Source organism: Homo sapiens, chromosome 10 (genome assembly GCF_000001405.40).
Source record: "Homo sapiens chromosome 10, GRCh38.p14 Primary Assembly".
NCBI classification, from domain to species: Eukaryota; Metazoa; Chordata; class Mammalia; order Primates; family Hominidae; genus Homo; species Homo sapiens.
In genome coordinates this window covers 79,219,090-79,235,851 of record NC_000010.11, presented here as the reverse complement: position 1 = coordinate 79,235,851, position 16,762 = coordinate 79,219,090, and the positions used below count along the sequence as shown (strand labels likewise).

The 16,762-nt window shown below is 53.8% G+C and overlaps 1 protein-coding gene across 11 annotated transcripts in view, besides 6 other annotated features; it reads right to left on the bottom strand.

Moving 5' to 3' along the window:
* Window positions 1–16,762, bottom strand: part of ZMIZ1 (zinc finger MIZ-type containing 1) — a 247,554-nt gene that overhangs the window by 80,668 nt on the left and 150,124 nt on the right. The window lies entirely within an intron of this gene.
* Window positions 5,326–5,620: an enhancer, noted in NCBI's record as "tiled region #8427; HepG2 Activating non-DNase unmatched - State 15:Elon, and K562 Activating non-DNase unmatched - State 7:EnhWF". NCBI's record gives its function as "activates a minimal TATA promoter and a strong SV40 promoter by Sharpr-MPRA in HepG2 and K562 cells {active_cell/tissue: HepG2 | K562}" and the evidence as "EXISTENCE:reporter gene assay evidence [ECO:0000049][PMID:27701403]".
* Window positions 10,487–11,224: an enhancer, noted in NCBI's record as "H3K27ac-H3K4me1 hESC enhancer chr10:80984385-80985122 (GRCh37/hg19 assembly coordinates)". NCBI's record gives its function as "activates a minimal SCP1, AML or CMV promoter by ChIP-STARR-seq in primed H9 embryonic stem cells {active_cell/tissue: H9 hESC(primed)}" and the evidence as "EXISTENCE:reporter gene assay evidence [ECO:0000049][PMID:30033119]".
* Window positions 11,225–11,963: an enhancer, noted in NCBI's record as "H3K27ac-H3K4me1 hESC enhancer chr10:80983646-80984384 (GRCh37/hg19 assembly coordinates)". NCBI's record gives its function as "activates a minimal SCP1, AML or CMV promoter by ChIP-STARR-seq in naive H9 embryonic stem cells {active_cell/tissue: H9 hESC(naive)}" and the evidence as "EXISTENCE:reporter gene assay evidence [ECO:0000049][PMID:30033119]".
* Window positions 11,225–15,293: a biological region, named in NCBI's record as "VISTA enhancer hs1767".
* Window positions 11,567–15,293: an enhancer, noted in NCBI's record as "VISTA enhancer hs1767". NCBI's record gives its function as "enhancer in: heart[7/12] | other[7/12]" and the evidence as "EXISTENCE:transgenic organism evidence [ECO:0001131][PMID:17130149]".
* Window positions 11,964–12,702: an enhancer, noted in NCBI's record as "H3K27ac-H3K4me1 hESC enhancer chr10:80982907-80983645 (GRCh37/hg19 assembly coordinates)". NCBI's record gives its function as "activates a minimal SCP1, AML or CMV promoter by ChIP-STARR-seq in primed H9 embryonic stem cells {active_cell/tissue: H9 hESC(primed)}" and the evidence as "EXISTENCE:reporter gene assay evidence [ECO:0000049][PMID:30033119]".

Below are 16,762 nucleotides of genomic sequence, written 5' to 3'. Positions count from 1 at the left end.
CAACTGTAGCGTCCAGGGCATGCCCTGCAAACTGCAAAGTGCTAGGCAGATACGCTCTTCTAAAGGACTCTTGCCCATCAGTTGCCTCTTTTTTCCCAGCACAGTGTGGGATTCTGATGGGATGGGTCCATCCTACCCGGTACCTCCTGCTCACAGGGAGGTCAGGGCTAGACCTGGACTTGTCGGCTCTTTCCCTCACCTACTGTGGGAATCACATGCATCCTGAAGATGGGTGGGTGAACCTGATTTGGGCTCAAAGAAGGAAGGAATTTCTGACAGTCAGGGCTGCCAGGGAGTAGCAGGGAGCAGCCTGTCACCTGAGGCATATGAGCTGAGGATGGAGAATTGCAGAAGGGACCCTGTACTGGTGGGCTTATGGCTTCTGAGGCCTGCTGTAGGGTGCTAGGAGAGGTAAAAGGAGGAGAGGTGGTTGAGAAGCAAGCCCGAGCACCTCGGTGTGCTCTGGGCAGCAATTGCGCGGTTTTAGGAACCTCCCAAGCCCATGAAAAGTTTGCCAGGAGTCCTTCATCACCCGGTGCAGCCTTCCTGCCTTCCTTTCACCACCCCGTGTGAGAGGAGGTTCTCCGGGTGCCTGCTCCCTTCCAGCCCCTTGTTCCTGGTCCATGGCAGATGAGGGGAGCCAGCGGCTTCCTTCATTCCCCAGTGTGGTCCCAGGTGTCCCCCACCTCCAGGGGCTCTGGACATGAGCTGACAGGCTGCACAGGAATGTCTGGGAGAAATCCAAAGGTGGCCGCCAGGGCAGGGCAAGGAGTGGGAGGCCTGATGTTGAAATCAGGGCCTGCAGAGCTGAGCTCACAGAACTGCGTGCTCTTTGGCCCAGGAGGCCAAGTCCCCAACTGAGACAGATGCTACCTGGAAAGGGGCTTGGGAGCTTGCTGTGTGACCAGGTGCAGGTCACTGTCCCTCTCTGGACCCTAATCCCCTCTCCCCCAGTGAAGACATCTAGTGTAGATGCCATACCTCTCTTTGCTGCCGGGGGCACTGGCCTCCCCAAGTCTGGCTGGGTAGGCTCCAAGAAGAAATGTCATTATTGAACTGACTCCTGCTAATTCCCTGTAAAGGCCGGAGTAGGCTGACAGGTGGGCCAGGCAAGAGGTCTACAACACACATCATTTTGTCAAGGCAAAGACGCTGGTTCCAAGGTGGCAGGCCCTCTATGGTTCCATTCTCCTATATTTATTTGTGGTTTATCTGTTAAGTATGTTTATCTATTAAGTATGTTAAATGTTTCCTGCATGACTAATGGATATTCACCAAGTTATTCCACAGTGGTGGGATGTCAGCTTTACTTTCTTATAATTTTCTGTATTCCTTGATTGTCCTACACATAGTATGTATTATCTTTGGACTTACAAGAAAAATTCCATAAAACCACTTTCATTTCAGAATGAAATCCAAAGTTAAGACCTTTTCCCTGGGAAAGGTGCTGTGTACCATCCATCCTCAGAACTGGTAAGTCAAGAGTCAAGCATAAAACAGCCATGTCACCACCTGAGCTTCCGAGGCCCAGGGAAGGGCGTGGGCACGAGGCATTGCTGGGGAGTCACCTCTGCTTCTCTCCCTCCACACACGGCACACTTCCACCCCAGCAGACTGGTGTCCTGGCATCCTGGCAACTGCACCAGCCTCCAAACTATGTTCTCTGCCTCTAGCACCCAAGTCCCTCCTCTACCTGCTGAGGCAAATCTGACCATGTCATCCCTTGTCTAAAACGTTCTTTCGCTCCCCAGGGGTGTCAAGATCAAGTTCAAGCTCCTTAGATTGGCATTCAAGGACTCAGATGATGTGGTCCCTAGAAGTGTCATGCCTGGTCTCCAGGAGGGCCATCTTGCTGCCCTCAGCCTGGGTTGCTCTCGCCTGACTCCCCCGGCAAGACCCTTAAAGACATATATACACTCTGGTTTGCCCAACTTCACTAGAGCCCCTGCTCTCCCAAAAGATCCATATGCCGATCAAAGTGTTGGGCAGCAGCTGGGTGCCAGCCTGCAGCTAGGAGGGGAAACTGCTGCAAATCCAGGGGTGGCAGAGGGAAGCTGAGGCCCCCCCACCCTCCCTACCAATCTTTGGGCTTTTCCAGAGGATGAGGAGCCAGGCCCCTGCTGATGAATTTGAAAGGGAAGGTGAGCTGTGGGCCAGCAGTCTGGGGTGACGCTCTCCAGGAGGGGAAAAAAATCAGGCATGGTGATCTCAGCCCTGTGGATGCTACGGTTTGGGGTTGCTGTGGTCTGAGTGTTTGTGCCTCTCTAAGTTAACGTGTTGAAATCTAATCCATTGAGATGGTACGAAGAGCTGGGGCCTTTGGGAGAGGATTAGGTCATCAGGAATACACCTTCATGAATGGGACCAGTGCCTTATGAAAGAGGCTTGAGGGCGCTCTTTGCACCCATGTGAGGACACAGCCAGAAGGTGCCATCTACGGGGAGCGTGCCCTCACTGGACATCAAATCTGCCAGAGCCTGATCTTGCCTCTGCAACAGGGAGTGATCAATTGCTATTGTTTGTAAGTTACCTAGTCAAAGGTATTTTGCTATAACAGCCTGAACAGACTAAGGCAGGGGCCAAGCAATGCTGCCTGTTCCCTGCCTCAGTCTCCCCAGCTGCGATGCAGGATGCAGGCAGTATTCTGAGAGGCACAGTGGGAAGGCCCAGCCCTGGGAACCAAGCCAGTGCTTCTGCTGCTCCCCCTCAACAAGGGGAGCCCACACCCCCCTTGGGCCCCAGACAAACCTGGGAGTGTGGTGTGTAATTGAATTTGGCCTAATTACCTAATTGCACTGAGGAACAACCAGTACTGACAGAGGCCTTGGTGTCGGGGGCGTGGCTGGAAGCCAGGAGCCAAGAGGGAGCCTCCAGATTCCCCAGGCATTCATGGAACCAGTACTGGGCATCAGTACTTCCTATCACTTAGCCCCTTGGATGCTTGGAACCCCAGGGGGCAGGTGGTGCTGTTCCCATTCCACAGATGAGGAAATGGAGGCTCAAAGTGGCACATCTTGCACAGGGACACCAAGTCAGAAGAAGCAGGAGGGGGTTTAGCTCACATTCCTTCCGCACCTGCACCTTAATATTTTCGTAAAGCTGAAAGGAGAGGATGTGCATGCAGTATTTTGCCTAGCATCTAAAACATGGTAACTCCTTAACTGATTGGCAGTAGTAGTAGGATGATGTTAGGGTTTCACATAAAGGTATGGTGGCAATAATAGCAGGAGTAATGCCAGCCTCGCCCCTGGTACGATGAGGGATGCTGGGAAGATTGCATCCCCCACCCTGTGTCAGTCTCTTCTCAGATTAAACTGGGGCTTGGGCTAGGTGATCCTCAAAGCCCTCTACACTCTGACATTCATGTCAGAGAGGAACAGTAACGATAATGTAACCCTACCACCAATACTTATTATGTATACCTATGAATTATTATGTATCTTGTGACCTCCAAAAATACACCGTCCTCCTGCTTCCCCTTTGCTGTCCAACACACAGTATCCTCCTTCCCATACCAGCCATCTTCCTCCCATAAGTGATTTTTTGAGGGGTGCAGGGGTACCACCCACTCACCTATTCTGTCTCAGTCATTGGGATGTAGCAAATAAGACACTGAGTTTTCACTACATGCAGGGCACAGTTTTCCCTTATATCCTCCCATTTAATCCTCAACGCAGACAGCACCAAACGAGGGTTACAGTTAGCCCCGTTTCCTGATGCAACAGCTGAGGATCAGAGAGGTTAAGTCAGTTCCTTAAAGTCACACAGCTCTAAAGCAGGAGAGCAGGAGGCAAGCTCAAGGTGGCCAACCTCCACTAGATTCTCCAAAAACTGACCCTCCTCCCATCATTCATGGGTCCATTGTTCCTCAAATGATTTCAGCCCAGTGCCTCCACTGGCCACCCAAGAGCCAGCCTCAGTCTCACTGGACTAGCTGCACAGGAGTGGTCAATAGCATTAAAAACACCAGGCATGACCGGGCACGGTGGCTCATGCCTGTAATCCCAGCACTTTGGGAGGCTGAGGCAGGTGGATCACCTGAGGTCAGGAGTTCGAGACCAGCCTGGCCAACTTTGTGGAACCCCATCTCTACTAAAAATTGTATTTTAGCCAGGCGTGGTGGCGTGTGCTTGTAATTCCAGCTACTTGGGAGGCGGAGATAGGAGAATTACTTGAACACGAGAGGCGGAGGTTGCAGTGAGCCAAGATCGTGCCACTGCACTCCAGCATGGGTGACAGAGCGAGACTCCGTCTCAAAACAAAAAAAAACAAAAAACAAACAAACAAAACCCCCCACCAGGCTTCCTAGGCTGGGCATGGTGGCTCACACCTATAATCTTAGCACTTTGGGAGGCCGAGGCGGGCAGATCACCTGAGTTCAGGAGTTCAAGACCAGCTTGGTCAACACAGTGAAACCCCATCTCTACTAAAAATACAAACATTAGCCATGGTGGTGGTTGCCTGCAACCCCAGCTGTTGGGGAGGCTGAGGCAAGAGGATCGCTTGAACCTGGGAGGCAGAGGTTGCAGTGAGCTGAGATCGCGCCATTGCACTCCAGCCTGGATGACAAGAGTGAAACTCCGTTTCAAAACAAAAACAAAAACAATAACTCCAAGCTTCTTGTGGAATCACAAGTGCTGGCAGTTCTGGGTGTGTGTCACGCATGGCCTCAGGTGGCCCCTGTGTAGCAGCTGTCCCCTTGGTGGGGCTGGGCACTCTGGTGCCCCTGATCACTTCTGTATCTTCAGTGAGATGCCATCTTTGTGTCATCTGCCTAGCTGTGTGGACATGTGACTCTGACACAGAGCAAAGGCACCCCAGGAGGAGGCACAGGACCGGAACCCTAAAACCTAGCCTAGCCCGAGCAGGGCATGAGTGCCCTCGGAGGAGGGGTCCACACCCTGGGCCTTGACCCATGGGGCCACCTTGGCACCTGTGCCCTCCTTCTTTAGAGGGGCTGTGTCTTTCTTCTCTTTTGTTTTTCTCCTCCCACAGTTCTCTTTCCATTTGGAGAGGGAGGAGAACTAGGCACAGAGGCCCTGACACTCAAATCTCTCCCTGGAGACCACTGGGCCACCTGCACATCCTCGCGCTTCCACACGGGCGGACAATCAAGCACAGGCACCACCTCCACCGCATCCAGCATGCTTCAGAGTGCTGGCTTCCCGGCTTCCCCAGGGAGCTCAACAGTGAACCACTTTCCCGCCGTCTGTGCAGGGAGGAGTTCCCATTTTCTCTCTTCTGAGACCCTTTTGAACAGACATGGACCCTGCACACAGGCGGGCCCCTCGACTCCCGGCAGACGCTTAATTGGGAGGAAGTGATTCTAAACATCTGGGGCGCACATCTGAGAGTGGGCTCAAGACCACACGGAGCCTGGAGGAAATGGGAATGTATGCAATGATGTCACTTCCTTGGCTGAGGGTCCTCAGGAGGGGGCAGAGCTAAACAACAGCAGGCATTTCTGGGGGCGTGGCCCAGGGCTGGAGCAGGGCAGCAGCCTGTGAGCAGATAGCCGGCCACCTAGAGCAGACGCTGCAGATGACCCTGGCAGAGCCGAGCAGCAGGACCTGTGGTGCACGGAGCAGTGGTCCCAAGGGGAAAGGGGAGAGACAAAGGAAGTGGGGGAGAGAGGGAAAGGAGGAGAAAGGAGACGGGGAGAGTGAAAGAGAGGAAGGAGAAAGGGGGGCGGGGAGAGAGAGAAAGAGCCAAAAGGACAGAGGCAGAGAACTGTTTTGCTCGGCCGGAGCCTCCCAGGGCAACCTACGGAGGAGGGCAGCGTCCCCACACAGGGTGCAACGAGTCAGTTCTGATCCTGGCTCAGTCCCTCCCTAGCTGTGTGACCCTGGGCAAGGGACTTAACCTCTCTGAGCCTCAGTTTCCTCACCTGGGAAAGAAGCACAGGGGATCCCTGTTGCGGGCTGTTGTAAGTCAAGGGGCTCACCTATGTAAACTGATGGCAGATGACTATCCCCTCACCGTCCCAACCCAGTCCAGGTTGGAAACTTCCTGCTGGAAGTGGCTGGTCCCGCCTCTCTGCTTCCCCACCCCACAGTGTGGTTCTGTGTTGTGGGTCTGTTGACACCATCTTTTCCTAAGCATGTCCCTGCCAGGTCTGGGTCTGTGAGCTCCTTTGGGAGTACAGGGTTCCCTAAGTACGGATCACAGAGTCTAAACATAATAGCTACCCATGAGCTTACGTTGAAGGGGTGAATTTAGCTTATCCTGTGCGCTGAGTTTCTGCCGTCATTATAATTATGTGCCTGTTTGAAAGGCAGACTGCTAATGTTTCCCCCCAGTAATTCCTGTTTCCTGCAGAGACAATAGTGTCTCTTCATCCCAAACAGGTGAGACTGGGTCCTCTGGAATTCCCTACAGGAGTCCAGCCCCAGGCAGTGTTTCTCACCTGGCCAGCCTCAACAAGCCAGGAAGCTTTCCTAGGAATATAATGAAGCATCTGTTAATAACTCTTCAAGGAAAGCCGTGGCCAGACTTCCCGAGCTCTGGGTTCTGTGTCTCTCTGGGCTCAGAACAGCACAGGCAGCCGGCAAGGAGGCTCTGCTTCCCTCCAGCCATCTGCCTGGCCACCGCCCTGTCCCCAGTGAGGGGAATTACCACCTTGCAGAGCTTCCACTGCAAAACACAAACACCTGGTTGCCTGGGCCGCACCTTGTCAGGGTGAGGAGATCCAGATGGTCCCTGGAGAGACAGCTGGGTTACCATGGAAACAGAATTGCTGCTGCTCCAGCCAGGAGAGCTGGATTCTAGATCTGTGGGACCCCAAGCTCAGTGGAGAGAGTGATTTGCATACAGTCACATAGCAAGTAGGTCTCAGAGCCTGGACTGTAAAGCAGGACTTCAAAATAATCAGAACTATTACATGCAGAGCCCTCATGAGATGGCAGTTTATGCTACATACTTGGTACCTATCATTTCATGAGAGGCTGGGAGATGAGGCCGGGGATACATATAGCATGGAAGCTGCAGAGCTAAACCAGGCCCACGTCAGCCTGATCTTGAAGCCCAAGCTCAGGTCCCTGTCCTAGGCTACCCCCAATTCTGGTTTCCAGCACTGGGCTCTACATAGCCTGAGACTAGCCCCATACCAGAAGCTAGCTGGCCCTGACTCAGGGAACACTGAAATGGTGGAGGCAAGGAGGGGCTAGGGGCCTGCAGGCAGAGACCCATTTCCAGGGCCTGAACCCTCACCTCCGAGCCCTTGCTCTGCCATGCATGCTGACCTGGGCAGCTCACAGGGGCAAGAGGGCAGGGGTCTGTTGGCCTGAGCCTTCCTCCCTGCCCCTGTGTGCCAGATGGGCCCTGGGAACAGGCAAGAGGCACATTCACAATGAGTCTGATCCCAGGGAAGGAGGAAGAGAAGAAGGCACAACCATGGAGGAGGAGAAGGAGCACCATATTTGGAGTTGGGGCAGGCCCAGGTCCACAACCCTCCTCCCCCAGTCTCTTGATTCTTCCTTCTTCTCTTCAGACTCAAGGGCCCACACATCCATCCACTCAGAGCCATGTCTTCACTCATCCCTTGCCTTGTTATACAAAGGGTTGAGCTACTTTGGACAAGTGAATAAATCTCTTTGAGCGTCAGTTTCCTAATCTATAGAATGGGTTGGATTCTCATGAGGATCATAAAATACCCAGCTGCAATGCATGGCATGAAGCAGTAGCTCAATAAATGGTACTTTAAATGTTACTTTCTCTTCCTCCTACCAATCTTTGAATAATTTTGAGCTGGGCTGCTGGGAAGACTTGGCGAGACAGAAGCCCTCAAGGTTTCCCTCACCCAGGGCACAGACAGGATGGGAATGGTGAGACAGAGGCCTTCAAACATCCCTTGCCCAGGGCACAGACAGGGTGCTGTGGGCCCTGTCCAGCCTCCCTCTGCCAGCTCTCTACTTTCCCCTTCTGCAGGGCTGCCTGCCTCCTGCACAGTGGCTCAGATTCTTTTTTGGGGAAAGGGGGGATGCATTCTTAGCCCCATCTAAACCTCTGCTGTCTTGGAGACCCCATTTACCCCACCTTAGTTAACAGGGTCCCACTCATCTCCACACCCTTGGAGGTGGTGTGACTGGCATTTACCTTGGCCCTACCTACACATAAGGGTTCCATATTTTTACAACACTAGGTTTTGTGCTACCTCCAGGTATGAGAGGCATTTCAGAGAGCATGAATGCCAACAGGCTGGAATAAAATTTCTCACGCATATACAGCATGTCCTATACACCTGGCCCTGTTCCAAGCACTGTATAGACCTTAACCCACTTAAAACCTATGATGTAGGCATTATTATAATCCCCTTTTGTCAAACGAGAGAACCATGGCACAAAGGAGTTAACTGACTCTTCCAAGGTCTCAGAACTGGTGATTAGGGGGCTGGGTGGGATTCACACCCAGACAGGCTACTCCAGAATCCATGCTTTTTAATGACCACCCTTCTCTATGAAACAGCTGAATGGCTTCTGGAAAAAATATCTGAAATTGGGGCTGACCCAGGCTCTCTGCTATTCATCATCCATGGGACCCTGAGTGTTGAATGAGCCCAAAGATGGGAGGGTGTTTAACCTACCAGCAAGGACAAATCATTGTCAAACACTTAAGGCCTCCACTTGCAAGCAGTTCAGGTGATCTTTGGCAGCTCTCAAATCATTACTGTGTCTTTCCCAAGACTTCATTTTAACCTGTTCATAGAAAGCAGGGGCAGCTGGTGGCTTTGGGGTTGAATGTTCTTGTTTGAATCACAATTTTGGCTCTTTTTGGCCAGAAAGCCCTGGTCAAATTATTTTATTTATCTAAACCTCAGTTTCCTCATCTGTAAAATGGGGTAGATATGAGTACCTGGGATCACCATGTGGGATAAGTGAGTTCATGGATACTCAAGGCAGTGCCTGTTACAGAGAAAATGCAGAACTTAATGTTGGTTGCATCATGACTGAAAGGGGCTAGGAATCAGATCTTTTCCTAATCCAGATGCCCTTCCCTGACCTGTCCTGGCTCTGTATGTCTAAAGAGGCAAAACTGATGATAACCGTACCATCATTAATGCCTATCTGTCTGTCTAACCCAGAAGGTACATACTTTGGTATTTACAAGGTATTTACAAGGCTGTGGCTTGCAACACTTGGTTAAAAAAAGTTCCACAACCAGCCTGCCCACCTTCTACCGAGGCCCTGCTCCATTTCACTCTCACACCCTCGAATCCCCTGAAATCCCTCCTCTGGGGGCGAGAATGCTAAGCTCCATCTTAAAACCAAAGCTCTGGCTTCCTTAATCCTCTTACCTGGCTCTTTCCTCTACAGAATTAATTGCTGCCAATGGCTTTTTTAACTCCTTGGGCAGCCATGGCATCCTCAGGGCAACCTGGGGCAGTGCTGGTGGGGGTTGTTTTGGCAGGACCTCTGTCCTGGGTGCACCTGTGGATAGGGTGGCTAGAGGCAGATGCAGGAAGGCTCGGGAAGGCAGGCATGGTGATACCTGTGGCCCTGCATCTCCAGAGAAGCTGTTCCAGCTCCTCGGGAGCACCACTGAGTCCCTGGTGACCTGCAGAGATGCAGGGATGGCCTGGCCAGAGCTCTGGTCCCACTTCTGCCCTTGCCGAGACCACCTCCCCACCCCTCAGAGCCTCTATTTTCCCCTTAAAATGGGAACAAGCTCATCTGGAGGAGTCATAGGGTTGGACATGTAAGGGAGGGTGAAGGGCTGTGTGGCCCTGCACGGTTACTGCCATCTCCCACCCACAGAATGGGAGCATTCACTTATTTCAAACCAGGAGAGAAGGGACTGCGTGTATTGCATGTGTATGTGTTTGTAGGCCCTGTGCTTAGCATGAGGTGGGCCTGGCACAAGAAGCTTGTCATCCCTCGCCCTTAAAATTCCAGTTTAGTATTTTTTATTTTAAGAGGCACTCTCACACCCACGGCCTCATCATTCTTCCTGCAGCCGTGAAGGCAGAGAAATGGTGTAGATGGACAGACTGAGGATGAGACGGCTGCTGGGCAGGGCACAGCCTACCCCAGGCCCCAGAGCCTCCTTCAGAGCTGCACTTCTTAACTAGGGCACCCTCAAGTGTGGTCTAGGTGATATGGCCCCCCAGGTTGCTTAGGTAGTCACAGGTCCCAGTGGGAGAACCACTGCAACCTCAGCTGTCTTTCCATCATTGGGATGCTGTTGTTTCTAAGAAGAGAGGCTCAGTAGTTTGGTGCTCACTGGTCTTTAAGCCTTTTCTAAACCCCTTCACCCTTTACCTCCCCTTTTTTTTAATTAAAAAAATTTTTTTGTAGAGATGTCTCACTATGATGTCCAGGCTGGTCTCAAACTCCTGGGCTCAAGTGATCCTCCCACCTCAGCCTCCCAAAATGCTAGGATTACAGGGGTGAGCCACTGCACCCGGCCATCACCTCCCTTTTTAACTAGCAGAGAACTGGCTCACCCTCCATCATTGAGCAGTCACCTGTAGCTAAACTAGGAGACAAGGTATGGTTTCTACTGTCTTTGTTTTGGCAGTTTCTGAATGTGGTAAGGGAGACTGATCTGCCATTTAAGGAAGCAATATAAAATTTCCTTTAAGAAATATTAAGAACTCAATCTTAATACAAGCGGTACTGAAATAAAGCAGAGATGATGGGGGTGTGATGCCAGTGACTGAGTCTGGAAAGCATCTTGTTGCAGGCACTGTGGGTGCTTCTTCTACACAGCCTCTGCTTACTGCATGCACTGGGACTCTGCCTGGGCGTTTTCTGCTAACTCGAGTGCCAAGGGTTCATCCACCTGCTCCCCGACCTCAAGCTGACCTTGCCCAATAATGGTGGAGAGATGGTGGAGAAATGCCTCCTCCTCCTCGCCTCTCAGGTGGGTAAGGGGCACATTCTAGCTGCCAGCACTCCCAGCAGGACTGAGCCCCAGGTGTCCACAGCAGGTTACGTGCTTCCTAACCACTCTTTTCACTGATTTCCTTCCCTTCCCCATCTCATTTCCTCCACTTCTCGATCAGTGCTTTCTGGGATCCTCCTGAAGGAACAACTTGCACTGGAATCCTCACCGCAGGCTCTGCCTGTGGGAACCCACACTCAGACACACATCATCTAGTTGCAATGCCTGCAGCAGCCTGGCCTTCCCCTACTACAGACCTCGTTAATGCCTACTCCTACTCACTGTGCAGATCCCCTATCCCAATCAGGTGGCCGTGGGGCGGCATAGGGGGTGGGCTGCTGAGGGCCCTGGTGACAGAAGCAGGCCCTTCTTAGGGTCCCATCCTCCAGGCTCCCCTCTCATTTTGGACAGGCCTGGAAAGCAGGTACCCACTGGCTCGGCCCAGGGTGTCCTTGTGTACACCCCCGCTCTGTAGGCAGGGGGGCCAGTGATGAGCTAATCCCCCAGATGAGAGGTCTGTCCCCTGGAGCTCTCGGGGAACCAGAGAGGGCTGCGCTAGGAAAACTGCTGACCCAGCCAGGAGCTGCCGGCTCTCCTTCTCACCCTGCCCCTGCCAACTCCAACCAAACTCTGAAGAAACCCATGACTGCTGCTGCTTCTGCTTAAAAACAGAAAGAAGAAAATGTGGGAAACAAAGAAAAGAGTCACCCTCCGGCCCCCTCCAGATAGAGCCATTACTTGTAAGTTGACATTTTGGTATATTCTCTTCTGGTGTCTGTGCCTAAATACATGTACGTTTTGTTTTTGCACCTGGCTGGGATCATACTAAGTCTAGCACTCTGTTATCCTTCTGGAAAGTTAATATTACATGTAAGCATTCCCACATAGTCATCATTCTTTGGAGACCTCGTTTTAATGGCCGTAGAAATAGCCTGGAAGTTGTTTCCACATCTGCCCTTTCTCATTCTGGGCATGGCAGGGCCCCTCCCCACTGCTCATTCCTGGAACCCCAGGGACCATCACAGCTGCCCCTCCCCCCAATTCCTTGGCCTGGGAACACTGTGTCCATAAACCATCCCTTTTCTCCAAGAGCACAGTGAGGCCACCGGATCTCAGGCCTCATCCCTCAGGGAGGTGGGGGAGGGGACGGAGGCCAGGGCCCCTGGCCCAGGCCAGGCCACCCACCAGTTCACCCAGGGTAATTCAGAGGGAGGTGGTTCCCTGTACTCCACATCTGACCATCCTAGAAATCAGACCTGCTTCCAGCACCAGAAGCCATGTGACCTGGGTCTGTGTCTTCCCGTTTCCTCCTCTATTAATGGGCATGCTGATAAGAGCGCCAGTTGCCTTTCCCACGGCACTGAAACAGAGGGAGGTGAGCGCGTGAACAGGTTTCGTCCACTAAACAGATCTGACCATGAGTCAGTTCTGAGAGGGCCGGGTGATGAAATCCAGAGCCCCTTGTAGGGGCACCTGACCGGGGCGGTGGAGACAGCCCAGCAGGAGGAAGGAAGCCAAACCCCTCCCCAACATCCCAGCTTTGCTGAGCTTGTATGTGGGGGTGGGGGCCGGTGTCCAGGAAGAAGTCTGTCCCGACCTTGAAAAGGTGCCCCAGCCTGCCAGGCGGCTGGCATTTCAAGGGCAAGGGCCTGCCTGCCTGCTGTCTCTGGGGCACCGGCAGCTGGTAACAAATCCCCTGCAATTTGCACCCACCAATCCTGCCTGCTCACTGGGCGGCCGCGAGCTGTTTTTCACGCAGAGCTGCGCACAGCTTTGTCTTAGAGAGACAGCTCTGGCAGGGTGTCCCTGAATAAGGCCATTTGTCCTCCCAGTAACGGGAAGGCGGCTGCATGTTCTGGGGTGGGCAGAGGCAGAGAGGGGTGGAGAGCAGCCACAAGGGAGGCGTGAGGGGGAGATCGGAGTCAAGCCACCAAAAGAGACCAGGAATGTCCCCACCACCACGGGGTCTGAGAGTCCACCATTCAGCCAGGTGAGAGCAAGAGGGCTTGCTTTCAAAGACAGAAGTTGAAACAGTGGTTTATGACCTGGCTTAAGGTGTCCTGAGCAGAAGAGGTAGAAATGACTTGGCTGGCCTCTGACACCTGTGCCTCTCCCAACAATCTGAAGGCTGGAGCACTCTCCAGGGCCCTTGGGGTCAGGGTCTTTCTCTGAGCCCTGGGGCTGCTGCACAAGTTGTTATAGAAGCTCCCTGGGATCGAGAGCTCCAGTGAAGTACCCAGCCTCTCCCAAGCACTCTCTCCATGGACCACAGGCCACAGACAGGGAGGGTGAGACAGGGACCCCTTTGCATTCCTGAATCTTTACCTCCCAGGCTGGCCAGGGGCCCAGGGCATGTCTCAGCCCCCCTCTTGTGATCTGCTGACATTTCCCATGGCTGTCAGTTCCTCTGGGGACTGTCAAAACATCAGGGAAACCAGGCTGAGGAGATGTTTGTGGACAAAAAGTAAGCGATCCACTCTGCATGGGACCCAGGACTCGGGCTGCTGCGTTGAGATGGGAGGGTGTCCTTGAACAGAGGTCAGAAACACTCATGTCCACAGGGCTGGTTTCCAACGGTGGGGAAGGCCATGGGTGTGAGACAATAGAGAAGGATGGGGAGGGCACAGCGCCTGTCCCAGAGGTTAGCCACCACCACCCAGTCAGTCCCAGTCAGCTGTGAGGACGCGGGTCCAAGATTCCCACTCAAAGGAAGCCAGGCATTTGACTCTGTTGTACAAATTTCCTAAACAGTGAATGCTGGCAACTTGTATGCATAAAAAAAAAACATTGAGTGGTCCAATCTCAGGTGTCTGTGGGCCACATCTGGCCTATGAGCAGCCAGTCTGTGTTTTCTGATTGACAGCCACCAGCCACTCATCCCTAAGGAAAGCTGGCCTCTTCCTCAGTGGTGGCAGTTCTTCCAGTTCTCACCACTCTCCTGAGTTCTGACGACCTGTCTCAGGACATCCTGCGGAAGCTCCAAGGCCTCCTGGACCTGCTGCTCTCTCTGCGTTTTGACTTTGCCAATAGCATGAGGGTGGGAGCCCACAGCTGTGAGGCCAGCCTCAGGAAGACAGGAAGGGCGCGAGAAGGCAGCAGGCATTCGGGCTCTCTTCTGGACTCTGGCCCTGCCTCGCTAGGACTTGGGGTGGGTCCTCCCCTCTCTGGGCCCTGGGCTCCAGCATTCCCTATTCGATTATTTCAACAGTGACTGGCTGCTCACGGGTCAGCTGAGGCCATATGGCTTTCTTCAAGCATGGACAGGAGCTGAGACAGGCAGAAGGCTCTTGGGGACCTCGACATGGCGACTGCCTGGTGCTTGGTGCCCACGTTGCCAGCAGGCGTGGGACTGCTAGGTGATGAGGAGGCTGACATTTCAGTGCTGCCCGCCAAGTCCCCTCGGGCTGGCATGGAAGGTGGGGGTGGGGCAATGCTAAGGCCCGGCCTGGGGAGAATCAAGGGAGCATCAGGATGCCGGGCCAGGCAGGTGACCTTCTGTACTGAGGAGGGAGGGGGCCTGGTGAGGAGGAGGATCCCGCCCGCGCACGTGCGCTCTGAGGCTAAAGGCTGCGCCAGAACAAAGAGCTGGGGGCTGGGCGTCCAGGGCCGCGTGGAGCCGCCTGCCTGGCGGCTGCTGCAGTGACTGCCTGTGCTCGCCTCCTGCGCACTCTCCCAGGACACACACACGCACACACACACACGCATGCATGCACGCACATGCACACACGTGCTCCTGCACCACGGCCGGCTCACCGCCAGCTCTCCTGACAAAGCCCCGCTCCAAGCTCACTCACTGCATGATCTCATCCTGGCCCTCCTTGGCTGGCCTGGCCTCCTGACAAGGGAGACAGAAGGGGGATGCAGCGCCAGGGCGACACACACAGGCATGCACCCACACACAGATAACATGCATGCAGACACAGATAGGCATGTACATATACACAGCCATGCACAAACACCATGCAGATACACACATGTACACAACCATGCACACACAGACACGCACACAGGTACATATACGTCATAGACATACACACACCATGGACACAGCCATGTACATGTACACAGCCACACACAGCATGCTCAGATACACACATGTGCACAGCCATGCAGACATACACAGAGACATGCACATGTACACAGGCACACACCCACATACAAAGCCACATACTCTCCCCAACACAAACATACACAGCCTCACACACACCATACACACAGACGTACAGTGGGAGAAAGTCTGAGACCCAGAGAAACCCAGGAAGGCAGAGAAAGCCACGGGAAGCTAGAGATGGACAGGGGCCGCTGCACAGAGACAGACCTACAGACACCCAAGACCAAAGAAAGAAAGGAGCAGGGAGCCCTGGGAGGGCAGAACTGCACAGGCACGTCAGACAAGTGTGGAAAGGCAGGAGGGCGGACAGGTGGCCCAGACTGGCTGAAGGGGCTTGGGGGCTGGAGCGAGCTCTGGAACTGCAGAGGCCTCCCTGGAAGTGGGCTGGGCAGGTGGGAGTGGCCATCCCCACACAGGCACACCGGGGCTGTGCCCAGGGGTAGGGACACTGCAGGTCACCCACACCCACAGAGCCGAGGGGAGAGAGGACAGTGGGAAACAGGCTTGCTGCCACAGAAGGGGCCTTAGAGAGGCTGGGAACCACATCAGCTAAGAGACAGACACATGGAAGCAGAGGAGGAAGGCTGGAGGGTCATATTTACTTGGCCCCCAGTGTGCGTCAGGTATTAGCTGGGCCCCTTTCTCACTCCCATGATTAGGGGGTCCCACTGCATCCTCACAGGCAGCCCATGAGGTGGGCAAATCAGCTCTCTTCACAGACGAGGCCACAGCCTGGAGAGGTGGCCAAGAGGAGGCCTGGCGCCGGTGCCATGTCTGGGACTTGGGGTCCCAGCTCTGCTCCCCATGGCCTCCACCCCTCTTATGGCCCAGCCTGCTCCTGGCAGGTCCTTCACCCCTCAAATAAAACCGCCAGGTAGAGGCTTCCTCCTCAGACTGGCCCCCTTTCCTTTCCAGAAGATGGGGCAAGCAGGGGGTGGCTGGGATCCCGAGAGCCCATATATCTGGATGGGTGGCCCTGAAAGGTAGTTAGTCATGGCTGTGGGCACTGACAAGGGTTTGACTCCTAATAAGGAAATCTGAGGATGGCCAAGCCACAGGCACTGCTGTGCCTCAGTGTTCTCAGCTGCAGAATGGGTACACTGAGAATTCATCCCTGGGAGCCTGCATAGTGTCAGAGTGTCACGTGAGTTCACAGACACAATGCATGGGAAAGGGCTTTCTAAATTACAAAGGCTGTGTTCAAGCAGGGGTGCAGATGGAGGAAAGAACAAATCCCTGTTTCAAGCGAAGAAGTGATGCTGGGAATGCCACTCAGAGGCCTTGCTGGAGACCCCTGAGCAGCATGAAGGGCTCTTTCCAAAGGAAATGGAGGGCTGCCCAGGCCTGGTGTGATGGGGCAGGCAGAGCCCTGGGCCTGCAGCCAGGAGGCTAGTTCAGGTTCCAGCCTATTACTTATGAGTTGGGTGACCTCAGGGAAGTCATAGGACCTCTCTGAGCTTCCATTTTTTCATCCATAAATGTAGATAGTATTCTGTGTCTCACAAAGCTTGGCACCACCACAAAACATATGAGAACACCCAGCACGTGCCAGCAGGGCAGGGGTTTCAGTGACCCTTTGTGGAGGGACTGCACAGAGACCTGAGTCTCTCCTGCTCCTCTGGGGAGGCACTGGGCTCCTGGGACAGCCCATTCTCCAGGTCTCCTTCTCCCTCTGTGGCATAGTTTTGCCTCTTAAATATCCCTCTGTCTCCATTCCACTCTTGTCTTCCTGATCCAGCCACCATCATCCTCACCCCGACCTCCCAGTGA